At 41.4% G+C, this 21,992-nt stretch overlaps 1 protein-coding gene and 1 long non-coding RNA gene across 6 annotated transcripts, besides 4 other annotated features; one reads left to right on the top strand and one right to left on the bottom strand.

Moving 5' to 3' along the window:
* Positions 3,968-4,027: an enhancer, noted in NCBI's record as "active region_1269". NCBI's record gives its function as "activates an Ori minimal core promoter by ATAC-STARR-seq in GM12878 lymphoblastoid cells {active_cell/tissue: GM12878}" and the evidence as "EXISTENCE:reporter gene assay evidence [ECO:0000049][PMID:35858748]".
* Positions 4,218-4,327: an enhancer, noted in NCBI's record as "active region_1268". NCBI's record gives its function as "activates an Ori minimal core promoter by ATAC-STARR-seq in GM12878 lymphoblastoid cells {active_cell/tissue: GM12878}" and the evidence as "EXISTENCE:reporter gene assay evidence [ECO:0000049][PMID:35858748]".
* On the bottom strand, positions 5,580-7,310 carry BCL10-AS1 (BCL10 antisense RNA 1). Its single transcript, NR_045484.1, has 2 exons — positions 6,871-7,310; positions 5,580-6,027 (listed from the first exon to the last, which is right to left on the bottom strand). It is a non-coding gene; the product is annotated as a BCL10 antisense RNA 1 (long non-coding RNA).
* Positions 6,644-7,843: an enhancer, noted in NCBI's record as "CDK7 strongly-dependent group 2 enhancer chr1:85741508-85742707 (GRCh37/hg19 assembly coordinates)". NCBI's record gives its function as "activates an origin of replication core promoter dependent on BRD2, BRD4, P300/CBP, MED14 and CDK7 cofactors, with strong dependence on CDK7, by STARR-seq in HCT116 cells {active_cell/tissue: HCT116}" and the evidence as "EXISTENCE:reporter gene assay evidence [ECO:0000049][PMID:35650434]".
* Positions 6,736-7,438: an enhancer, noted in NCBI's record as "H3K27ac hESC enhancer chr1:85741913-85742615 (GRCh37/hg19 assembly coordinates)". NCBI's record gives its function as "activates a minimal SCP1, AML or CMV promoter by ChIP-STARR-seq in primed H9 embryonic stem cells {active_cell/tissue: H9 hESC(primed)}" and the evidence as "EXISTENCE:reporter gene assay evidence [ECO:0000049][PMID:30033119]".
* Positions 7,036-17,892, top strand: BCL10 (BCL10 immune signaling adaptor). Of its 5 annotated transcripts, none has more exons than NM_001320715.2 (3): positions 7,036-7,372; positions 12,762-13,050; positions 15,719-17,892. In NM_001320715.2, the coding sequence occupies exons 1-3, from the start codon at positions 7,316-7,318 to the stop codon at positions 16,039-16,041; spliced, it is 669 nt and encodes a 222-aa protein (NP_001307644.1). In that variant the 5' UTR covers positions 7,036-7,315; the 3' UTR covers positions 16,042-17,892. The 5 variants fall into 5 exon arrangements, with proteins under 5 accessions (NP_001307644.1, NP_003912.1, XP_011540699.1 ...); NM_003921.5 differs by having other exon boundaries at positions 15,686-17,892; XM_011542397.4 differs by having other exon boundaries at positions 7,036-7,868; positions 15,686-17,892.

Genomic DNA, 21,992 nt, shown 5'->3' with positions numbered 1-21,992 from the left:
CCCCCACTGCAGCCAGTGTCATGATAGCAGCCACTCCAGAAGGGCCACCCACGCCATCACCAAGATTGCAACACTGAACTCCAGCCTGGGCAACAGAGCAAGACCCTGTCTCAAAAAAAAAAAGTTATTTTCTGGAATTATGCTTGCCATCGAACCCCACCTGGAGTTTGCAAATATCATCTTCCTCTTTCTGAGACTTGCATTAGTTAACATTGCCAGTCTTCAGCTACTCTCATTGTTGCACAGTGCCCTTCATGGATCCTAAGCTGGAGCAGATACATCATTTGTGAGGCTCAGGATATAATGATTCAGAGAATGCTCAAGCATCCTAGCTTCTCTGAATCATTATGTCCTGAAGCACTTAGCTCAGTCTACAGCTAGTAATTAAGAACACTGGCCTGGCCGGGCGCGGTGGCTCACGCCTGTAATCCCAGCACTTTGGGAGGCCGAGGCGGGTGGATCATGAGGTCAGGAGATCGAGACCATCCTGGCTAACAAGGTGAAACCCCGTCTCTACTAAAAAAATACAAAAAATTAGCCGGGCGCGGTGGCGGGCGCCTGTAGTCCCAGCTACTCGGGAGGCTGAGGCAGGAGAATGGCGTGAACCCGGGAAGCGGAGCTTGCAGTGAGCTGAGATTGCGCCACTGCAGTCCGCAGTCCGGCCTGGGCGACAGAGCGAGACTCCGTCTCAAAAAAAAAAAAAAAAAAAAAAAAAAAAGAACACTGGCCTTATTATCAAGGCTGAACTGGAATCCCGGTTCTGCTACTTGGTGGGAGAATGACCTTGAGCAAATCATGTTTCTAAGCCTCGGATTTCTCATCTCTAAAGTGAGGATAATAAAGCCTACCTGTAAGGACTGTTATAGGCATTAAATTCCCACCACAGATGTAAAGTGCTTGGCTCAGAGTGAATGTGAAATAAACTGCTAGTGATTATTTCTTCCCAGGGAGTTGTAAGACTGGGAGATCTAGCCCCTCCTCCAATATCCCCCTGCTGGCATATAGGTATGCAACCTCCAAACATTCAGGACTCATAGCAGGTGCCTGCCTGCACTCTTCAAACCAGTCCTCTAGGGGGAAGACAAAGGGAATGATCCCTTATCTCTGGTTCCCTCATCAGCCCCAGCAATGTCCTAGTCTTGGGGTACACTAGCAAATATTGTCAGAGCATTTTCTCAGGTCCACGCCCACCACCCTACACTTTCCTGGTCTTTCCTTCCTAAGCCAAGAGCCATTCCTAGAGACAGGACCCCCAGGAGTCTTCACAAAGTCCCTGTGCTGAAACATCTGAATTTCACCACATAGTATCTTGTCATTAAAACCTAAGAGTGTCTGTCTCAGAATTGGCCAGTTTTTTCTTCCAACCATTTACAGAGAATGTATAATCCACAATTTATAATTCCACAACCACCTGGAATAGTATTTGTTGCTCAATACACATCTGACATCTGACAGGAAGTATGGAATAAATAACCAAGAAGCAGTTAAAGCTCCCCATTAAAATCCTCCCACCCAGCTTAAATACTGGGTGAACTCCTCTTTCATGTTGTTTTATCGATCAGAATGGTTTCCTCTTCCCTACCTCTGAATTCTTATTATCACTATCTTTATTGCATACTTACTAATTGATCCAAGATCCTACAGCTAATAATTGGCAAATCTAGAATTCAGCTGTACTGACTTGAATAGCATCTCCCCAAAATTCACATCTACTGGAACTTGGAATGTGAACTTATTTCAAAATAGTGTCTTTGGCTGGCATGGTGGCTTATGCCTGTAATCCCAGTAATTTGGGAGGCTGAGGCAGGAGGATCATTTGAGCCCAGGAGTTGGAAACCAGCCTGGTCAACATAACAAGACACTGTCTCTACAAAAGTAAAAAATAAAAAAATAAAAAAATAGCTGAGCGTGGTGGCACATGTCTGTATTCTCAGCTACTTGGGAGGCTAAGGAGGAAAATTGCTTGAGCCCAGGAATTTGAGGCTGCCATAAGCCATGACTGTGCCATTGTACTCCAGCGTGGGTGACAGAGAAAGACCCTGTCTCAAAAGAAAAAAAAAATGTGTCTTTACAGATGTAATCAAGTTAAGATAAAGTCATACTGAATTAGGGTGGGCCCTAAATCCAGTGACTGGTGTCCTTAAAAAGAAGGAAATGTGGACACAGAAACACAGGAGGAGACACAGAGAGGAAGGTCATGTGAAGATGGAGGCTGGGGTGGGAGTGATGCCGCCACAAGCTGAGGAATGCCAAGGATTGCCAGAAGTCACCAGAACCAAGCAAGAGGCAATGAAAGAATCCTCCCTCGCGGCTTCAGAGAGAGCATGGCACTGCCAATTTTGGACTTCTACCCTCCAGAACTGTGAGAGACTAAATATCTGTTAAGCTACCTTGTTTTTGGTAATTTGGTATGATGGCCCTAGGAAACTAATACACTGTCTGTCAGATATCAGACATCCTCATTCTTAATGATATCTCATCTGTACCATGATGTTATGCAGCCTTATGATTGTAGCACCTAAACCGTATCCCTCATGGCACATTTCTCAGGTGCCTTCTATTTCACAGTAGGAGGCAGATGGAGCACCTGGAAGTTAAGGGGGTATGGAGGCTGTGTTAAGGGATGAGGAAGAAGTAGGATTATTGCAAGGTAGTGGATGGGTGGGGCTGTTTTCTTGAAACTATGCCCAAACTTCATTGTTAGCCAGACCCTGTGATTTAGCAGAAAGAGGAAAATTAGTTTACTAATGAAAGAATTATGATGCATTAGAAAGCAAGAAGGACTGGGAGTTGCAAAGCCTGCCACAAACGAGCTCTGTGATTAAGCACGTGGTATTCAGATGTGGCTTTTTAAGCTAGGCAATTCATCTTGGGAACATTGACACATGGTCTGAAAAGCAAAATATTACTCTTTCAGCTATAAAAAAACTCCCGGAATCCTCATTCAGTCCCGCCCAATCCCTGATCCTTATTCTGTAACTCCCAATTCTAACATAGGGCAGACACTTAACTTTTTAGTTGACTAAATAAATAAGGGAATGAATACTGAGGATAGAAAAGGGTTGGAGGTGTCAGAAATGAAATGATGGTCAAGGAAAGAGAAAGACTCAGATGTATAGGGCATGGAAGAATGTTCAAGAATCAAAGATGTCTGCCACTAACATTTGGTAATCAAAAGCCATGACAAGCAAATGTGGCAATATATCAGTATCTGCTCAATCTTGGTAGTGAGCGTAGGGTGTTTGTAATATTCTTTATAGTTTGGTGGGTTTAAAATGTTTCCTTTAAAAAGAACAACAGTGCAGTAGCAATCTCAAAATGGCCAAATCAAAATGAGTGCATTAAATTGGCAGCATTCAATTCACTTGCTTTGATGGGTGAATCCTCCCCTTCATCAGCAGAACTGATTTGACTGTGGTAAAAACAGTTCATTCCCACACACAGATAGACCAACACAGCCCTTTTGGAGAGCACCCATATATAAGAAAAGCCATAAAATATTCATTTCCTTGGGCTTTGTACTCCTGGTTCTGGGAATTTATGCAAAGGCAATGATAATTTGAAAGGAAAAAGGATGAAAATATGTAAATTCTATGACAATTTTTTAATAACAATGAACACTTGGGAAGGATTTAAGGTGTCAGTGGGGAGTGCTCACCACTGCCCCCACCCTGGTCAAGCCATCCTAAGCTGTGCCTGGATGGCTGTGTGTAAGGAACATGGCTGTGCTTTGGTCAAGGATAGGACGAGGTAAACATCCACAGGGACTCAGCGAGTTTAGAGCGCAGGCATATAACTCCACTTGTTATCACAGCTATGTAGCCATAACATGGGAAGGCCATCCCTTGGCTCTAAGCCACTATTGTCTGTAAAAGGTATAATTGCCCTGTTGACATCGTGCAGGCGTGCTGACACCCAGAGAGAGAGAGAGAGAGCCAGAGTTGACCCTCTTGGAGACTGACAGTGGGGAGCCAGGACACAGCTCGGCTTGCTCATGCCCAGAGAGAGGAAGAGTTAAGCTGCTGACCCCGAAGGCAAGGGAGAGTCGGCCATGCAGCTGTGTGGGGGAGCCGCCAGACTAAGCACCTGAGACAGGGCAGACAGTGTAGAGAGCTAGTGTAAGAAAGCTGTTGATGAGAGCTGCTGCTGAGTAAAATCATCTTTTACCTGCCTACGGTCCCCTGAGTGTTCTTTCTGCTCATCCACCCACTCCCCTTGGACCTCAGCATGGGCTAGAACCTGACCCCAAGCATGACATTTGGCTCAGTCGTGAACCTGACATTGTGGTAGCCTCCACGTAGTCTCTGCTTCTTGCCCTTGCCCCTGCCATCTACTCTCCACTTAGCAGCCAGAGTGATCCTTTCAAAATGAAATCAAACTGCTTCCTTGCTTCATTTCAAAATGCTCCCACCACCCTCACTGCTCCACCCTGGTCTGAACCACAACCTCCTGGGGCCTGGATATAGCAATACCTCCCTAAATGGTTTTCCCTCTTCCATCTTCTTTCCCCTTAGCACAGAAGTGAAAGTGCTTCTTTTCAAATCACAAATCAGATCATGTCACTCTGCTCAGAACCTTCCAGTGGCTTCCCGTCTGACTCAGCACACCCATATGACTCAACACACAAGGAGATCATCTCCTTCCAGTTACACTGAGCATTTTTATTGGTTGCTGACTGTACTCATAATGCTCTCTCCTTATATCCACACGGTTCACTCCCTCACTTCCTTTAAGCATAAATCAAATCCCTTATCTTGGTATTGACAAGACAAGGACAGACTCCTCCAAAGTGAGCAGGGAGGTCATGACCACCCTAGCTTAAATTTTACCAATCCATACAGCCTCATCCTACTTCCCTGTTTTATTTTTTCCTCTTAGTATTTATCATCTTCTAATAAATTAAATAACTTAGATATAGCCAGGCGTGGGGGATCATGCCTGTAATCCCAGCACTTTGGGAGGTTGAGGTGGGCAGATCACCTGAGGTCAGGAGTTCGAAACCAACCTGGCCAATGTGGTGAAACCTTGTCTCTACTAAAAGTACAAAAATTAGCTGGGCGTGGTGGTGTGTGCCTGTAGTCCCAGCTACTCAGGAGGCTGAAGCAGGAGAATCGCTCGAACCCGGGAGGCAGAAGTTGCAGTAAGCTGAGATGGTGCCATTGCACTCCAGCCTGGGAAACAGAGTGAGACTCCGTCTCAAAAAAATAAATTAATTAATTATTTTTTTAAAATAACTTAGATATAGCCGGGTGTGGTGGCATGCGCCTGTAATCCCAGCTACTGGGGAGGCTGAGGCAGGAGAATCACTTGAACCTGGGAGGAGGAGGTTGCAGTGAGCAGAGATCGTGCCACTGCACTCCAGCCTGCGTGACAGAGCGAGATTCTGTCTCCAAATAAATAAATAAATAAACTTAGATAAAATTTTTCAAGTGCCTACCTCGTCTGCCCCAAACACAAATAAACTAGAATATAAATTCCATGAGGAAAGAGATTTTTATTGGTTTTGTTCACAGCTGTTTTCCTAGCACCTAGAACAGTGTCTGGCACATAGTGGACATTCAAAACACATTTGTTAAATGAAAGGATTCATCCTAAAGTTAAGGATGGTTCAGTAAATCGGATGGAAGATGATGAAAAATTAAGCAATTAGAAAAAAACTGTCCTTGTGTAATGTGTCAACATGGAAACAGGACATAATGTAAACATCAGAATCCCTTGCTGTGATTCTGGTTTTTGTGGCTCTGGTTACATTGTTTTTTTGTGTGTGTTTTTTTTTTTTTTTGCTTTCCCGTTTCTTAAACATTGGCGTTCCCAAGTTTCTCCTTGGTCCTCCTGTCATTTTTATCTACTCTCGTAGCTTCAAATACCATCTAGTTTATAGTTTATTTAGCATGTTGTCCAAGCCACCGTCTTGGGCCCAGGGCTCTACCTGTAGCTTTTCATCCACACTTCTCAGGTTGCTTCTTACACAGCGCCATAGTAGTTAAAATACGGTCTGGGGATAGTCGTCTCTTCATCAGTCTCCCCCTATAAAATGGAGGACTCATAGTATAAGTTGCCTAGAACATATTAGTAAGGACTCAATAAATGTTTGAGTAGGATGAGCTGGGTGGCTCATGCCTGTAGTCCCTGCACTTTGGGAAGCCGAGGCGGGTGGATGGCTTGAGCCCAGGAGTTTGAGACCAGCCTGGGCAACATGGCGAAACTCCATCTCTATAAAAAATACAAAAAAACTAGCTGGACTCCCAGCTGCTTGGTGGCTGAGGTGGAAGGATCGCCTGAGCCCTGGAGGTGGAAGCTGCAGTGAGCCGAGAATCGCACCACTGCACTCCAGCCTGGGCGACAGAGTGAGATCCTGTCTCAATAAATAAATAAATAATCAGTTGAGTGCATACTGTGTGCCCAACTACCTTTAAGAACTTTACATATGATCCCGGCAGCCCTAAAAGGTAAGCATATCTATCTCCATTACACAGATTAACTAATGAGGAAAAGCTATGTTTATAATGAACAGTGACCAAAAAGTATGCAAACGTTAAATGAGGTGTTAAAGTGGTGGGATTGTAGGTGGTTTCTTTTTTTCTTTCAAAAATTTGTTTAGTATTGTAGTTAGGCTGTTTGTGTGTATGCATGTGTATGTGTGTATGAGTGCGTTTGTGTGTGACCAAAACAGTAACTGGCAAACGTAACAACAGGAAATTGTAGGGCAGGGTCTGGGAAAAGGGGAGGAACCCAAGGTACTGACAAGCCCAGACCGGACTCCCCCGAAGTGAGCAGGCAGCAAAGGCTGAGAGTGCCAGCTGCCTGGGCACTGACGGACCCCACCCACGGAAACGATGCCTTATGAGGAAGCTAACCCGGGCCACTTACCGACGACCTGCGCAGGCGTGGCTTGAGGAAACGCCCGCTGTGGGCGGAGCCACCCGAAAGGCTCCGGTCGGGGGCGGGAACAGGATCGGCCCGCGGGCTGGCGTCGATAGGCTGCCGCAGAGACAGGGCGGGCTCTGCTAAGCGACGCGCCTCGCCGTGGGGCGGTGCCTGCGCCTGAGCCTCTACGAGAGGGAAGGAACGCTGCTCCGAGCTCCGCGTCGCGTCGCGTAGATTCGCGTCGCCGTCGACCTCAGAGGCGGGGCCGGAAGCGCTACGGTTTGACCCCCGAGTCCCTCTGTTCCCGAAGGGGCGGCCGTCTTTCTCCCGACCCGCTCCGCCTCCTCTCCTTCTTCCCCATTACCCGGAGGCCGAAGCCCCCAGCCAGGGCGGGGCGGCGCAGCCCGAGCTCCCGGACCCGGAAGAAGCGCCATCTCCCGCCTCCACCATGGAGCCCACCGCACCGTCCCTCACCGAGGAGGACCTCACTGAAGTGAAGAAGGACGTGAGTAACGCAGCTGTGCCCAGGGCGGGCGGGGGCGGGCTGCAGCCCAGCGGGAGACGAAAGCGGAAGCCTGGAGTCCGAGGACAAGGAGGATCCTCCAGGTCGGAGGAGCGGAAAGTCCTAGCACAGGAGGACTGTGGCGAGCCCTGCATCCGAGGGACCTTGGTGGCAGTGATCCTCCAGTGATCTGTCAATCCAGGTTTTACATCGCTAAACGCAGAGCTTGGGCTTTGTTGCCAAGTGGTGTTTTGATTCTTGCCCACTCCTCACCCATCTCCTCATGCTTTCCCCCCAACTGGGTTCTTGGAGATGCTTCGTTAGGGACTGGCGGCTCAGATTCATCCTTAAGTCAGGCTGCCTAGGCTGCTCACTCAGCCTAGAGCGAAGGCTGTACCAGGTGAAGGATCCCAAGCAGTGGACCAAAAATGTGAAGCTCTTTTGCATAAGGGGGCTTGAGGAAGCTCAACAGCTGAAAGCACAACCTGGAATTCCCCTAGTAAGCAGACGCCCACATATTTAAATTGGGGTTGGGGGAGTGAATACACGTAGCTGAGAATTAATGTACAGGTAAACGTCGAAAATATTCAGTAGCTAAATTATGCTCTTCTCGGATGGTGCAGAACCACATAAACCTTCATATTTATTCGTAACGAATGGCTTTGTTGAGATATGACATTCTTTTTCCTTTGCGTTTACTTGTTTTGTCAGATGAGACCTATATGAGTATCACTAAAATACTTTATCTGAAGTCAAATGAAAAACAGAAACTCAACATGAAACGTGTTCTTATTGAACACTGCAGTACTTTTACAAAGTCATTTTGATGAACTGGACAGGATGGCAACTTTTTAAATGTTCATCCACTTCAAATCCCTTCCTCTTCCCTGTAAGGTTTATTACACTGTACTCACAATTGGTGTGACTCACCAGCAGAAGGAAACTGGATATGACTGGGAGTTGTGCTTAGTTTCCTCATTCAACAGAGATTTATGGAGCACTTGCTATATGGAAAGCACTGGCCTTGGGTCTGGAAGGATACAAAAAAATGAAGATCAGTTTCCTGCTTTACATTCTAGTTGAGATAAGAATGGAACATAAATAACTACTGTAGAATAAATGTTGTCTTATTCATGGTGAGTGCCAGTAAAACCTTGAACTTCCAAGAGCTAGGCCTCCTATGTTCCAGATGCTGTGTCACACAGTTTACAATGTTCCCACTTAACCTTCGCAACAACCTCTAAAGAAGATAATTGCCATTCCCATTTTACAGCTAATAAAACAGGAACTGAGAAATTACAAGTGGAAGGAAATAAGATCTGTATACAAGTACAGATGTGAAGAGTGGCTTCCAGGTCTTTGTTCTTCTCTGTCAATTCATTGATGTTATCTGTCTTCAGGATTTCATTTTACGCCTATATCAGAAATAAATAACCTTGAGGAAACCATGGATGGGTTTCAAAAGGTCTATGAAAGAAACTATGTGCATGCTTTTTTCTTAGAGGTTTTTTTCATGATATTTTCAAAATGTCTTCTGATCTTAGAGAGTTTTAAAATTATCCACATATTTGGACTTTTCTCTCCACTCTAGGTCCTTATTTCCAAATGTCTACTGGAAATCTACTTTTATATCCTACAGATTGCTCACCTTGTCAAATATTGAACTTTTACTATCCTTTTCCCAAAGTTGCTTACTGTTGCTGCTGTATTGCCTTTCTTGATGAATGGTGTGCTACCACCCTTTGTCTTGGGACCTCCCACTTCTTTAGTGTCTCCCCCTCCTCCTATCTAGTTATTTGCCTCATTGTGTTAGTTGGATTTAGTACAGTTTAATAAATATGGATTACATGCTACTGTGAGGCTGATACTGTGGTTGGTTCTAACAGTTCAAAAATTAAAAATGAAAACACAATCCTAACTTGAAAAGAGCTCAATTTCTTGAGGGGGATTGTTTTAAATCACAAAATAAGTGCAGTGAGTTTTGCATTCAACTGAAACATTAACTACTTGGTGCCCTAGTAAGTGCAGGATATACAGTGTTGGCTAAAACATACCTCGTAGCTGCCTGCTTCAAACAGAGACGTTAGTTTAAAACAAATAAATAAATTTTGTTTTCATTATTGCAATTACTATGAAGGAATCAAACAGTGCCAAGACAATAATAGGGGAAATCGACTTGAGATAGGATGGTCAGGAGAGGTTATATTTAAACTGATTCCTGAAAGATTTGACAGAACTGAGGGAAGAGCATTCTGGGCAGAATAGAATTTGTCAAGGACCTAAAATAGGCAAGACCCTGGTGACTTGGGGAAATCGGAGGAAGGCAGAGGGTAATCTGAAGTGAAGTTAGGAAGGTGGGCTAGAGCCATTTTCATGAAGAGCCTTTTAGTAAAGTATCTGGGGTTTTTTTCCCCCCAAGTATAGTAGGGACTTGTTGAAGAATTGTATAGTTTAAAGATCCCTCTGCCTGTTTCATGGACTGAGGAGAACAAGAATAAGAACAGGGAAGCCAGTGAGCAGGCTCTTGGAATCTATAGAGATGAATGAGGATGGTGATTTGGATCAGGGTGAAGGCAGTGGAGATGAATGGAGCAGAATTCCAGATGCAGTTTTTGAAATAGAAATGATATGACCTGGTGATGGATTGAACATGGGAGTTGAGGAAGAGGATGTAATTAGATTAGTACATGGAAATGTCAGATCAGCAATTACATCTGCAAAGTCAAAGATCAGAAGAGAGATCTGAGCTAGAAATGTAAGTGTGGAATTGAATGATTTTACCTAGAAAGCTGTGAGCTAGAAGAGAAAAATGGTGTAAAACCCTTTAAAGAGAAGAATTTTAAAAAGTGAATTGTTAGCTTGAAAGTAGGGTAACAACAACAACAAGAAAATGATTGAAAAGTTGTATCCACAGGGATGGGAAGAAAACCAGGAGAGTGTGGTATTCATGTAACAATTTTCTTGTTTCAGGGAGGGAGTAGTCAACTGTGTTTATGCAGCTGAAAAATGAAATGAAGACTGAAAATATTTGGCAATAAGGGGGTCATTGGTGACTTCGAGAAGAATACTGGGGCAGGATGGAAATGTCTGGGAATGAATTGGGAAATGAGGTGAAAGAAGTGGAGTCCTGGTGTATAGAAAGATGAAGTGTATACACAAGGTGCTACAAGGACAGAGGACGGGGTGCCTAACTCATTCTGGGGAGTTAGGTAAACCTTTCCAAAGAAGATGACCACTGACCTAAATCTTAAAGGACGAATAGGGGCTTTAGGGTCTGATAAAAGCAGACAAAAAATACGTAAGGAAATGTAGAGAGACAGATAGTTTTAGGTAGAGCATAAATTTTCAGGACAAAGGTAGTGATAGATTAAGCTGGAGAGGTAGGTAGGAGCCATATTATCAATGAACCTTGTCTTCCATAATTAGTTATTATTGAGTACTTACTGTGTACAGAGACTATGCGTGGCCTTCATATATAGTATTCCCATTTAGTCCTCCTTGATGTCCTGTGAGTTAAGTTTTTAATCCTTATTTTATCAATAACATACCTGGAGCTTGGAGTGGTGAAGTAACTTGGCCCAGCTCTCACAAGGGTGAGTACTAGATTCAAGATTTGCACTGAGGTTGATCCAACTTTAGAGCCATGCCCTTAACTTTTCTACTCTTCTGCCACGTAAAGGAACTTTATCCTTTAAGACAGGGCAGAACATTGTTTTTAATTTTTTTTCTAAATTAACAAAATTTCAATATTAGAATTTGCTGGGCACAGTGGCCCACACCTATAATCCCAACAACTCAGGAGGATAAGGTGGGAGGATCACTTAAGGCCAGGAGTTCAAGACCAGCCTAGGTAATGTAGCAAAGATCCCTTCTCTACAAAAAAAAAAAAAAAAAATTAAAAATTAGCCGGGCATGGTGGCTCACACCTGTAGTCCTAGCTACTCAAGAGGCTAAGATGGGGATCACTTGAGTCTAGGGATTCCAGGCTGCAGTGAGCTATGATCAAGCCACTGCACTCCAGCCTAGGTGACAGAGTGAGATCCTTAAAAAAAATTTAGTAAAATTCATATAATACTCCAGATTTCCATTTTCTCCTGAAGGAGAAATGTTGAGGAGGGGGAAGGAAGTAGTAAGTGCAGCTAGGTTTCTATTGTTAATAGTCCATGCCAGATATGATAAGGACCAGGTCCTGGACATAGTTATTTGCTCACTCTGTGCTTTTCCTGTATTTGACCTATAATCTTTTTTTTCTGGGCCCGATCACATTGTTTTATAATTATTACCTGTGATATGTATTCCCAGCTAGACCATGAGCCCTTTGCATGTAGGATTCAAATCTTGTTCATCTTTGTATACTCAGTGCTCAGCACTCGGCATATTAGGAATTTAGATTTGTAAAATACTTGTCATGTGAATAAACAAGTAAATGTGGAACTTCGTAGACCAAGAACCACAGGAACCCTTCACCTAGCCTACTTTCCTGCCATTACCTTTGTCATTATTACTAACATATATTGATCACTTACTATGTACCAAGCGCTTTTCTAAGCACTTTGCATATCTTTATTCCTCATATAACAGTCAGCTGAGGAAACAAGCACAGAGGAGTTAATTACTTGCCCAAGATCATATATCTAGTAAATAGAGGAGCTAAAATACAGTCACCGGTACCAAATTATTAATGCCATTTATTGAGATCAACATGGATTTTCTACTAATTAAGCTCTTAGGCACTTCTCAAATCTAGGTTTGCTTTTTTGTGGTGTCCTTTTTCTTTATTTCTTTCATTTTTCGAACACTCCCTATTCCCCACACATCTTTCCATCTCCCTTCCACCAAGACTGATTCACTGAGTTAGAGTGTAGTCTTTCCAGCTGACCCCAAAGACAGATACATTATGGGCTCTTTCAGTTTAGGGTTTTGTTTTTTGTCTTTAACAGTTTAAGGAAATGGAGTAATTAATAACAAACATGAGAAAGTTACAGACTGTGAGACCTCTCACTAAGTTATTGGTCCTGACTAATTCTGCATTCCTTGCCAACTGATAGCTAAAATGTACAGTAGTGTTTGCCCTCATCTTTACTCCCGAAGATGGCCCTCAACAGACCTCCCTGTTTCCAAGGACCCAGGCCCTCTAGATTCAGCTGGTCCCTCTTCACAACAGCCTGGTCTTGGTTTTTAGGTTTGAAGGTGAGATCAAAGCAGTGAGGAATGTCTAGGACCTACTTGTGTCTACTTGGACTTTCATCTTAATTAGCATGCATTTTAGAAGGCCTGAGCCTCCTGACTTTAGAACATTGTCTCACACCAGCTAAGACTGCCAACTAATAGTCACGTATGTGATTTTCTTAGATGTTAAAAATAACATTGAACCATATTTTATGTCTTTTAGGCCTTAGAAAATTTACGTGTATACCTGTGTGAGAAAATCATAGCTGAGAGACATTTTGATCATCTACGTGCAAAAAAAATACTCAGTAGAGAAGACACTGAAGAAATTTCTTGTCGAACATCAAGTAGAAAAAGGGCTGGAAAATTGTTAGACTACTTACAGGAAAACCCAAAAGGTCTGGACACCCTTGTTGAATCTATTCGGCGAGAAAAAACACAGAACTTCCTGATACAGAAGATTACAGATGAAGTGCTGAAACTTAGAAATATAAAACTAGAACATCTGAAAGGTAAGATATCTTAATTATCTAAGAGCTAATTTAAATGTAATAATGCTTTTAAAAAATGCAGAGCAGGCCAGGTGCCTGCACTTTAGGAGGCCAAGGCAGGAGGATTGCTTGAGGTCAGGAGTTTTGAGACCAGCCTGGGCAACATAGCGAGACTTTGTCTCTACAAAAAATTAAAAAATTAGCCAGGCATGATGGTGCATACCTGTGTTTCCAGCTACTCAGGAGGCTGAGGTGGGAGGATCACTTAAGCCTGGGACATTGAGGCTATAGTGAGCCATGATTGTGCTACTGCACTCCAGTCTGGGCAACAGAGCAAGACCCTGTCTCAGAAAAGCAAAACAAAAACAGAAATGATCATTTTGCTTTCAAAAAGTTTAAACTTCAAAATTATATTCAATTTGCACTTATTTTACCTTATTTGACACTATTACATTGAAAAAGTGGAATATCTCTCAATATCCTGTATTTGTATTCATTTAATACCATTTATAGAAAACTATTATGAAATCCCTGCATACATAAGGATTTGTTTCTAAAGTCAGTAGAATGTAAAGTTAATCTATTCAAGAGTAAGCTCTGAAAATACTGTACATCACACATAAAGAACAGTATTTAGGCAAAGTATTGTAAAAGTCCAACTCTGCTAGTTTTTCTTATGATCACCAGTTGATCACAAGATGAAGTAATTGGCATATGTTTATAGGAATCACGTTGCATAAAATATTCATGACTTTAAACTAGTCTGGCAAGATGTGAAAGCATGGAAACAGATTAAGAGAATAGCAGATTCACCTGTCCCATTTCACTCTCACTCCAGAATATACACTCACTGATTGGAATATTGTGTGGAATTGCCTACACAATTTAAATCCCCAACCCCCTCCTGCCTCTGTTCCTCACTGTCTCTCTCCAGAGCACATAAATGTGCATGTGATGTTCTACAGCTCTTCTAGGCATTAGGGATACAGAAAAGAATAATTTAGGGCTCTGCCCTTAAGGAACTCATAGTCTATAAGTGTCCCCTTGCTGGGACACATTACAAGTTTTCCCTTTTGAGCCATATCTAAGAAAGTAGTTTGTATAGCATGGAATAGACATGCTGACTGTACTGTGAGGTTGAAAAACTAGTGGAAGAAGTGACATGTAAGTGCCCTTTATAGACTATGCAGGTTTTGCCTAAAAATTGTCAACTCAGGGTTTCTGTGCCTGTAGGTTGAATATTTGCTAAGCCTAACAGAAGGGTAAATTGTGTTTGTGTTTATTCTTTCAATCCTCTGGATAATGGTTAACTATACCCTTTGGATATCATAAAATTCTTTGATGGTATCTAAGTTGTTTTCTGCTGTAGCAATACCTGAGACTGGGTAACTTTTAAAGAAAAGAAATGTATTCATTTCTTACAGTTCTGGAGGCTGGTTAAGTCCAAGACCATGGCGCCAGCATCTGGCAAGGGTCATGCATGGTGGAAGGGCAGAAGATGGAAGAGCAAGGGAGGGCAAGAGTGTGAAAGAGAAGAAAAAGGAGTCGAACTCCCAAAATAACTAACCCATTCCCGTGATAATGGCATTAGTCCAGGGCAGAGCCCTCATGACCCTGTTGCCTCCCAAAGGCCTCAGCTCCTAACACTGCTGCAGTGGCAACCAAGTTTCCAACATGTGAACTTTTGGCGGATACATTCGTACCACAGCTAATGGGAACAACCACTGTCATTTGAGTAAACTGTGAGGTTGAGAAACAGGACATTATCTATTGAATTGTAGTTCTCACTTTCCCACAAAGTAGTCCTGGAATGTTGGACATGACTTAACTGTCCTGTGCCTTTTTTTTCTCTTTTTTTTTTTTTTTTTTTGAGACGGAGTCTTGCTCTTGTCACCCAGGCTGGAGTGCAATGGCATGATCTCAGCTCACTGCAACCTCTGCCTCCCAGGTTCAAGCGATTCTCCTACTTCAGCCTCCTGAGTAGCTGCGATTGCAGGCACCTGCCACCACGCCTGGCTAATTTCTGTATTTTTAGTAGAGATGGGGTTTCGCCATGTTGGCCAGGCTGATCTCAAACTCCTGACCTCATGATCTGCCCACTTCGGCCTCCCAAAGTGCTGGGATTACAGGCGTGAGCCACCATGCCCCGCCCTTTTTTCTCGTCTTTAATAATAAGAGACTATCCTAGGTGACCTCTAAAATTCCTTTTAGTTCTAATATCCTATTATTCAAGAATTAGCCATTGTCATTGATCAACAGATAGAATTTTAGCATCTGCCGTTTACATTTTTTTATTAGCTAATATTTTTTGTACCAGAATACTAAAGAATATTTATTGTGAAAGCTATTTCTTATTTTATAAAAAATTTTAGGTGGTTAAGTTTATATGTACGCTGTACCTTAAATGAGAATTACAGCATGTCGTTTAACTTCCACGAGACTATTTTGTTATATAGAAAATGCAAATAATAGTATACTTCATGGTTGTTGAGAAAAGCAAATTAGATTTGAAATAGATTATGACGGAAATTACAAGTTGCTATTTAAATTTTGATTGTGGGGTAACTAGCTTGTAATCTTTAACAAGTCACAAGATGGACAGTGACTCCATTTTTTTAGTTACTTTTTCATTTACATCTGAATAATTTTATTGTAGGACTAAAATGTAGCAGTTGTGAACCTTTTCCAGATGGAGCCACGAACAACCTCTCCAGATCAAATTCAGATGAGAGTAATTTCTCTGAAAAACTGAGGGCATCCACTGTCATGTACCATCCAGAAGGAGAATCCAGCACGACGCCCTTTTTTTCTACTAATTCTTCTCTGAATTTGCCTGTTCTAGAAGTAGGCAGAACTGAAAATACCATCTTCTCTTCAACTACACTTCCCAGACCTGGGGACCCAGGGGCTCCTCCTTTGCCACCAGATCTACAGTTAGAAGAAGAAGGAACTTGTGCAAACTCTAGTGAGATGTTTCTTCCCTTAAGATCACGTACTGTTTCACGACAATGACACTTTATTGCCTTTTAATTTTTAATGATGACAAAAAATGTTTTAAAGAATATGACTTTTTATAAAATGGCTGTAATCATTTGTTTACATTTGATGCATGTCTTTTAAAATGCAATGTAAGCATACTTTGTAAATAGGATTTTTAGAATTAAAAAAGCATACTTCTAGGATAGCTAACTGTAAATCATGTTGATCATGTACTTTTTAGTAATTTCTTTTTTTCCTTTTTAAGGTCTTTCAGTACTTTTTTAAATATTTTCTATTTTAAGACTGATTTTAATAGGGAATATATCTCTATTTGAGAATAGACCCTTACTAGGAAGAACGTTTTTTCCTCAGTGCATTTGTGCTAGAAATTTTCAAGAGTCTAATAGTCTTTGCCAGTCATTCAGCAGCAAATTTTCAGCATTAAGCTGTTCCTGTTCAGTAATAAAACCGGTCACTGATGGGAAAACTGCCAATATAGAAAAATAAAAATCTCTTTTCCACTCCATTGTCGTATAGGCATGTAAACAGCCTCTTTTTGATACTGGAGGAACACTTGATGGAGTGTGAGCCACCTAAGATCTCGGTTTGCCAAAATTCATTTCTAATTAACCTTACTAATTATACTACTTTGTTAGGATTTTCACATTCTTGGCTTAATCATTTTCATTCCTAAAGAAAAATATCTTGGCCTAAACCTCAGTTATTACATGTAATTTGATGAGGTATTTTTTCCTTTTTTCTTTTTTTTTTTTTTTTTTTTTTGAGACAGTCTTGCTCTATCGCCCAGGCTGGAGTGCAGTGGCGCATTCTAGGCTCACTGCAACTTCTGCCTCCCATGCTTACGTGATCCTCTCACCTCAGCCTCTCAAGTAATATAGCTGAGACTACAAGTGTGTGCCACCATGCCTCACTAATTTTTGTATTATTTTTGTAGAGACGGTGTTTTGCCATGTTGGCCAGGCTGGTCTTGAACTCCTGGACTCAAGCAACCTACCCAGCGTGGCCTCCCAAAGTGCTGGGATTACAGACACGAGCCACCTCACCTAGCCTGATGAGATTTTTAAAAAATATTTTCTCTGTACTTTTCATTCTCTTTTAATGAGGACCAATGTACAGTTGAAATAACTGGAACAAATTATTTTTGGTGTGTGTGACAATTCTGTTTTTAATGCTATTTGAACAAGTGGGCCATTAGCCAGATTTGTCTTTTTGTTGTAAAACAAAATTTGACTAATTTTACATGTTTATAAATCTTATGCTCTCACTGTTTGTTTTTATTTAAATTACAATTTTATCTGTTTCCTGACATTGTCTCCTATATATTTCTATTATTAATTGCAAAAACATAGAAATGGAAATTTTGCTATCAACAATAAAATTTTTTTAAAGTAGTGAGTGCTATTTTGGAGTTCCAAATTTTCAGTAGGAAGTATCTAAAACTTTTTTTAATACGTGCCATTATCTATAGAAAACATTACTTCAGGTTGTGAGATTGAGTTGCATTTCTGGATGGACTGATGAATTTATCCGACATGAAGAAGATTGGCATATTAGCTTTAAAAATTTTTAAAGATTGGATTTTTTTTAGTATAAGCACTTTCTAAGGATTATAGAGAAATGTTTCACCTCCAATGCATAGCAAAAATAGTGGTGTTAGAAAGAAAATAGGTTACATTTAAGGAAGGTGCTTTAAAAAGCAGAAGCAGACTTTAAAATTAAATTTGTGGACACCTTTTTAAAAATTGAATCAAAGATTATAATTTAGATATACAATAACACCTATATATAGATAAGTTTTAACACTGAGTTTTCTTTCAGACTGTTTTCTAACTACATAGACAATAAAATTAAGCTTTGCATAAAGCTAGGTTTGTGGGTTTTTGACTTCTACAAAGTCATTTTTTTTCCTTTTAGCCCTGAAAACTAGCCATTGCCAAAAGTGTGTAATTTAGGATGACTTGACAGGATGCAATTTGTTAACTAAGTTCATTAATGCAGCACAGAAAAAGTTACTTTTCAGGGATACCATATTATCATAATACAAAAACACGTTAGTTCATTTTTATGTATATGTATATATTTTTAATACTTTATTTTTGGAGCAGTTGTAGGTTTACAAAAAAGCAGAAAATACAGAGTGTTTCCAAATACCCCCTTCTCCCTCAGTTTCCCATACTATCTTGCACTGATGTGGCACATTGGTTATAATTGAGTCAATGTTTTGTTTTGTTTGGGGTTTTGTTTTTTGTTTTTTGTTTTGTTTGTTTGTTTTTTGAGACAGAGTCTCGCTCTGTCACCCAGGCTGGAGTGCAGTGGCGCGATCTCAGCTCACTGCAAGCTCCGCCTCCCAGGTTCATGCCGTTCTCCTGCCTCAGCCTTCCGAGTAGCTGGGACTACAGGCGCCCACCACCGTGCCCGGCTAATTTTTTGTATTTTTAGTGGAGACGGGGTTTCACTGTGTTAGCCAGGATGGTCTCAATCTCCTGACCTAGTGATCTGCCCACCTTGGCCTCCCAAAGTGCTGGGATTACAGGCATGAGCCACCACACCCGGCCAATCTTTTTTTTTTTTTTTTTTTTTTTTTTTTGAGATGGAGTCTGGCTCTGTCACCCAGGCTGGAGTGCAGTGGTGCAATGTCGGCTCACTGCAACCTCCACCTCCCAGGTACAAGCGATTCTCCTGCCTCAGCCTCCAAAGTAGCTGGGATTATAGGCGTGTGCCCCCACGCCTGGCTAATTTTTGTATTCTTAGTGGAGACAGGGTTTCACCATGTTGGCCAGGCTGGTCTTGAACTCCAGACCTCAGGTGATCCACCTGCCTCAGCCTCCCAAAGTGCTAGGATTACAGGTGTGTGCCACCACACCCAGCCTGATGAGTGAATCTTGATACTATTATTAATCCAAAGTCCGTTGTTCACGTTAGGGTTCACTTTTTGTGTTATACAGTCCTGTGGGTTTTGACAAATGTGTAATGTCATGTATCTGCCATTATGCAGAATAATTTCACTGCCTTCAAAAGCTCATGTGCTCTACCTATTCATACCTTCCTCCCTCTCATCTCACTCCCAACCCTGGCAACCACTGATCTTTTTATTGTCTCTGTAGTTTCATCTTTCCCAGAATGTTATACAGTTGGAATCATAGTATGTAGCTTTTTTCAGACTGGCTTCTTTCTCTTATCAATATGCATCAGAATTCTTCCAGGTCTTTTCATGATGAGTTCACTTTGTTTACTTTTAAAAACTTGCCAAGTTCACTAGTGAGAGGGGGAGAAAGAGTAGAGCAAGGAGTTCTGTCTGTGACTGAACAATCAATTGAGATAATTCACTACTTGCTGGAGAGCGAGAGTTCACTTTTGAAGAGGTGATTCGTCTTTAGTCAGCATGTCACTCATTGTGTGCAATGTCAAACACTGGTAAAATAGGGGCAGGCCAGGATAATGGCAGTTTTTTGTTTATTTGTTTTCATAAATAGTTTTTTATTTTAAATCCAATTTATCACATTTTTTCTCATGGCTAGTGATTTTTGTCTCTTGTTTAAGAAATTTTTCCCATCTCAACATCCTGATGATATTCTATGCTTTCTTCTAGAAGTTGTTTTAGTTCCTCATTTAGCTCTATGATCCATTTCAAAGTAATTTTTGTGTATGGTATGAGGTAGAAATCAAGTCTTACAGCTACCATCTTTTTACCTAAGCAATGTAAAAAGGAGGTGGAAGTTTCACACTCTAGTCTTATATTGTATCACTGGATAAATATGTCCACTGTTGACTTTGGAGAAAAAGCAAACCAAGAAGCAAACTGATCTAAAGTTTTTAAATGTAATCTTATGAGGGCTTTCTGAAAGGAGAGCTGAACTTAAGGATAGATAATATATAAAAAAACTTGAGTGCTGCTGCTAAAATCATGCTGAACTTGCCATACTATTTAATTACCAGAAATAGTTCTTTATTGCAATGGTTCCCAAATTTTGCTGTCCATTTTACAATCAACTGGGGAGTGCTTAAAGATCCCTATCTCCAGGCTGTACCCCATACCCAATAAATCACAATGTTTGGTTGTGGAAGCCAGGCATCAGATTTCCAGGTGATTTTCAGTGGCAACAAAATTTGGAATCCACAGCCTTACTAGATGCCAAATAATGAGTTTAGTGTTTCCGCATGTGTGATCTTGTTTCTTGTTTTTTAATCCTAATAACCCTGCAAGGAAGGTTTTATTGTCACTTTTTTTTTTTTACAGTTGAGAAACAAAACTCAAAATAAAGTCAATGATTTAAAATCACACAGCTCTTTAGGATTAAAATCCAGGGCTGTTTGATTCTTAAGCCTGTGTTCTCATACAACTCATGTTTTCATTGTGGGAGAGAGTCCAAAAATAAAGAAAACTAAGATAATTCTAGTTACCATGGAGACAAAATAAGGCATGAGTTAAAAAGTAACTTGAAAGATACTTGATAGTATTATTGTAGAAGGCTTCTCAGAGCAGGTGAGGCTTTGAGCAGAGACCTAACTCATAAAAAAGGAGCCAGCCATGGGAAGTTCTAGAGGGAAGAGTTCCAGGCAGAAGTAACATTGAGGTCAGAAGCCCTGAGGTGGGAATGAATTAGTGAGAGAACCTGGAAACATTAACACCTTATTAGCAATGAGCTCACCTAGCACCGAGACCTTGGCTTCTAAATACCCATTCTCCATTAAAAGGAATCAAAGTTCCTTGGAAATGGCTAATTCCAAGGCAAAGTATAAGATGAGCCTGAAACATCTTGTTCCAGGAAGCAGACAAGTGATCAAAGAATCTTGAGGAGGACATGTCCAAAGGACACAGAAGCCTGCTTGAAGGGGCTCCCATTGGCCAAATCAGAGACAATTTCAACATCAAAATAAATAATAATGGATTATAACTCATTTGATAAGCCATGGGTCAATGCTAATATAAATAAATGAACAGTCTAGGCATGATGGCTCACGCATGTGATCCCAACGCTTTGGGAGGCCAAGGTGGGCAGATCACTTGAGCCCAGGAGTTTGAGACCAGCTTGGCCAACATGGGGAAACCCTGTCTACTAAAAATACAAAAATTAGCCAGGCACAGTGGCAGGTGCCTTAATCTCAGCTACTCAGGAGGCTGAGGCACAAGAATCATTTGAACCTGGGAAGTGGAGGTTGCAGTGAGCTGAGATGACTCCAGCTGAGTGATGGAGCGAGACTCTGTCTCAAGCAAAATGAATAAATAAACAAATAATTTGAAGCAGAATGTGATGTTGACATGGTCTTTAAATACCTCCTTACAAAAATACTTATTTACAAAGGAGGAAAAAAGTAACTACAGTGGAGAAGCCTGGCAGATACAACCTTAAACAAGAAATCAAAGGTAAAATCATCAGTGCCACGACAAACTGAAATCATGTGCCTTCTGATAGAAGACAATGAGAAGACTGTAATACCACTTTCATAATATTCTTGCCAAAGATTCATAACCTGACTCAAATCATTAGGAAACATGAGACAAGAGGAATTATTGGCAGCATCTTTGTAGACAATCTGCTACAAAAATGCTAAGTTTGAGGAGCTTCTGAGACATTGAAGTAGGAAATTGCATGCAGGAGTTTGGTGTTCAGGAAGACTTGTGGACCAGTTACGTAAATGTGGGAGTTATTAGCATAAACTAATATTTAAAACCTTGGAACTTGGTGAGTTTGCCTTGAAATGGAGGGTAGACAAAAAAGAGAGGAAGGCTCAGAACTGAGCCTGAGGTGCTTCTGCATCTAGAGGTGATACAGAGAAGACAACAGAGAAAACTGAAAAGGGCCCTGTGAAATAGGAAGAGAACTAAAGTGTATGATCTAGTGAAAGGCAAGAGAAAAGCATTTCAAGAAGGCACCTATCTTGTTGAAAGGTCAAGTAAGAAGTGGTCTTTGGACCAAGTCTCACAGAGACCACTGATGGTTTGATAACAAGAACTCATGTTG

This window comes from Homo sapiens, chromosome 1, assembly GCF_000001405.40.
Source record: "Homo sapiens chromosome 1, GRCh38.p14 Primary Assembly".
In the NCBI taxonomy this organism is placed as follows: Eukaryota; Metazoa; Chordata; class Mammalia; order Primates; family Hominidae; genus Homo; species Homo sapiens.
Note: the sequence above shows the minus strand (reverse complement) of the source record. Positions and strands in the feature narration are given on the sequence as shown.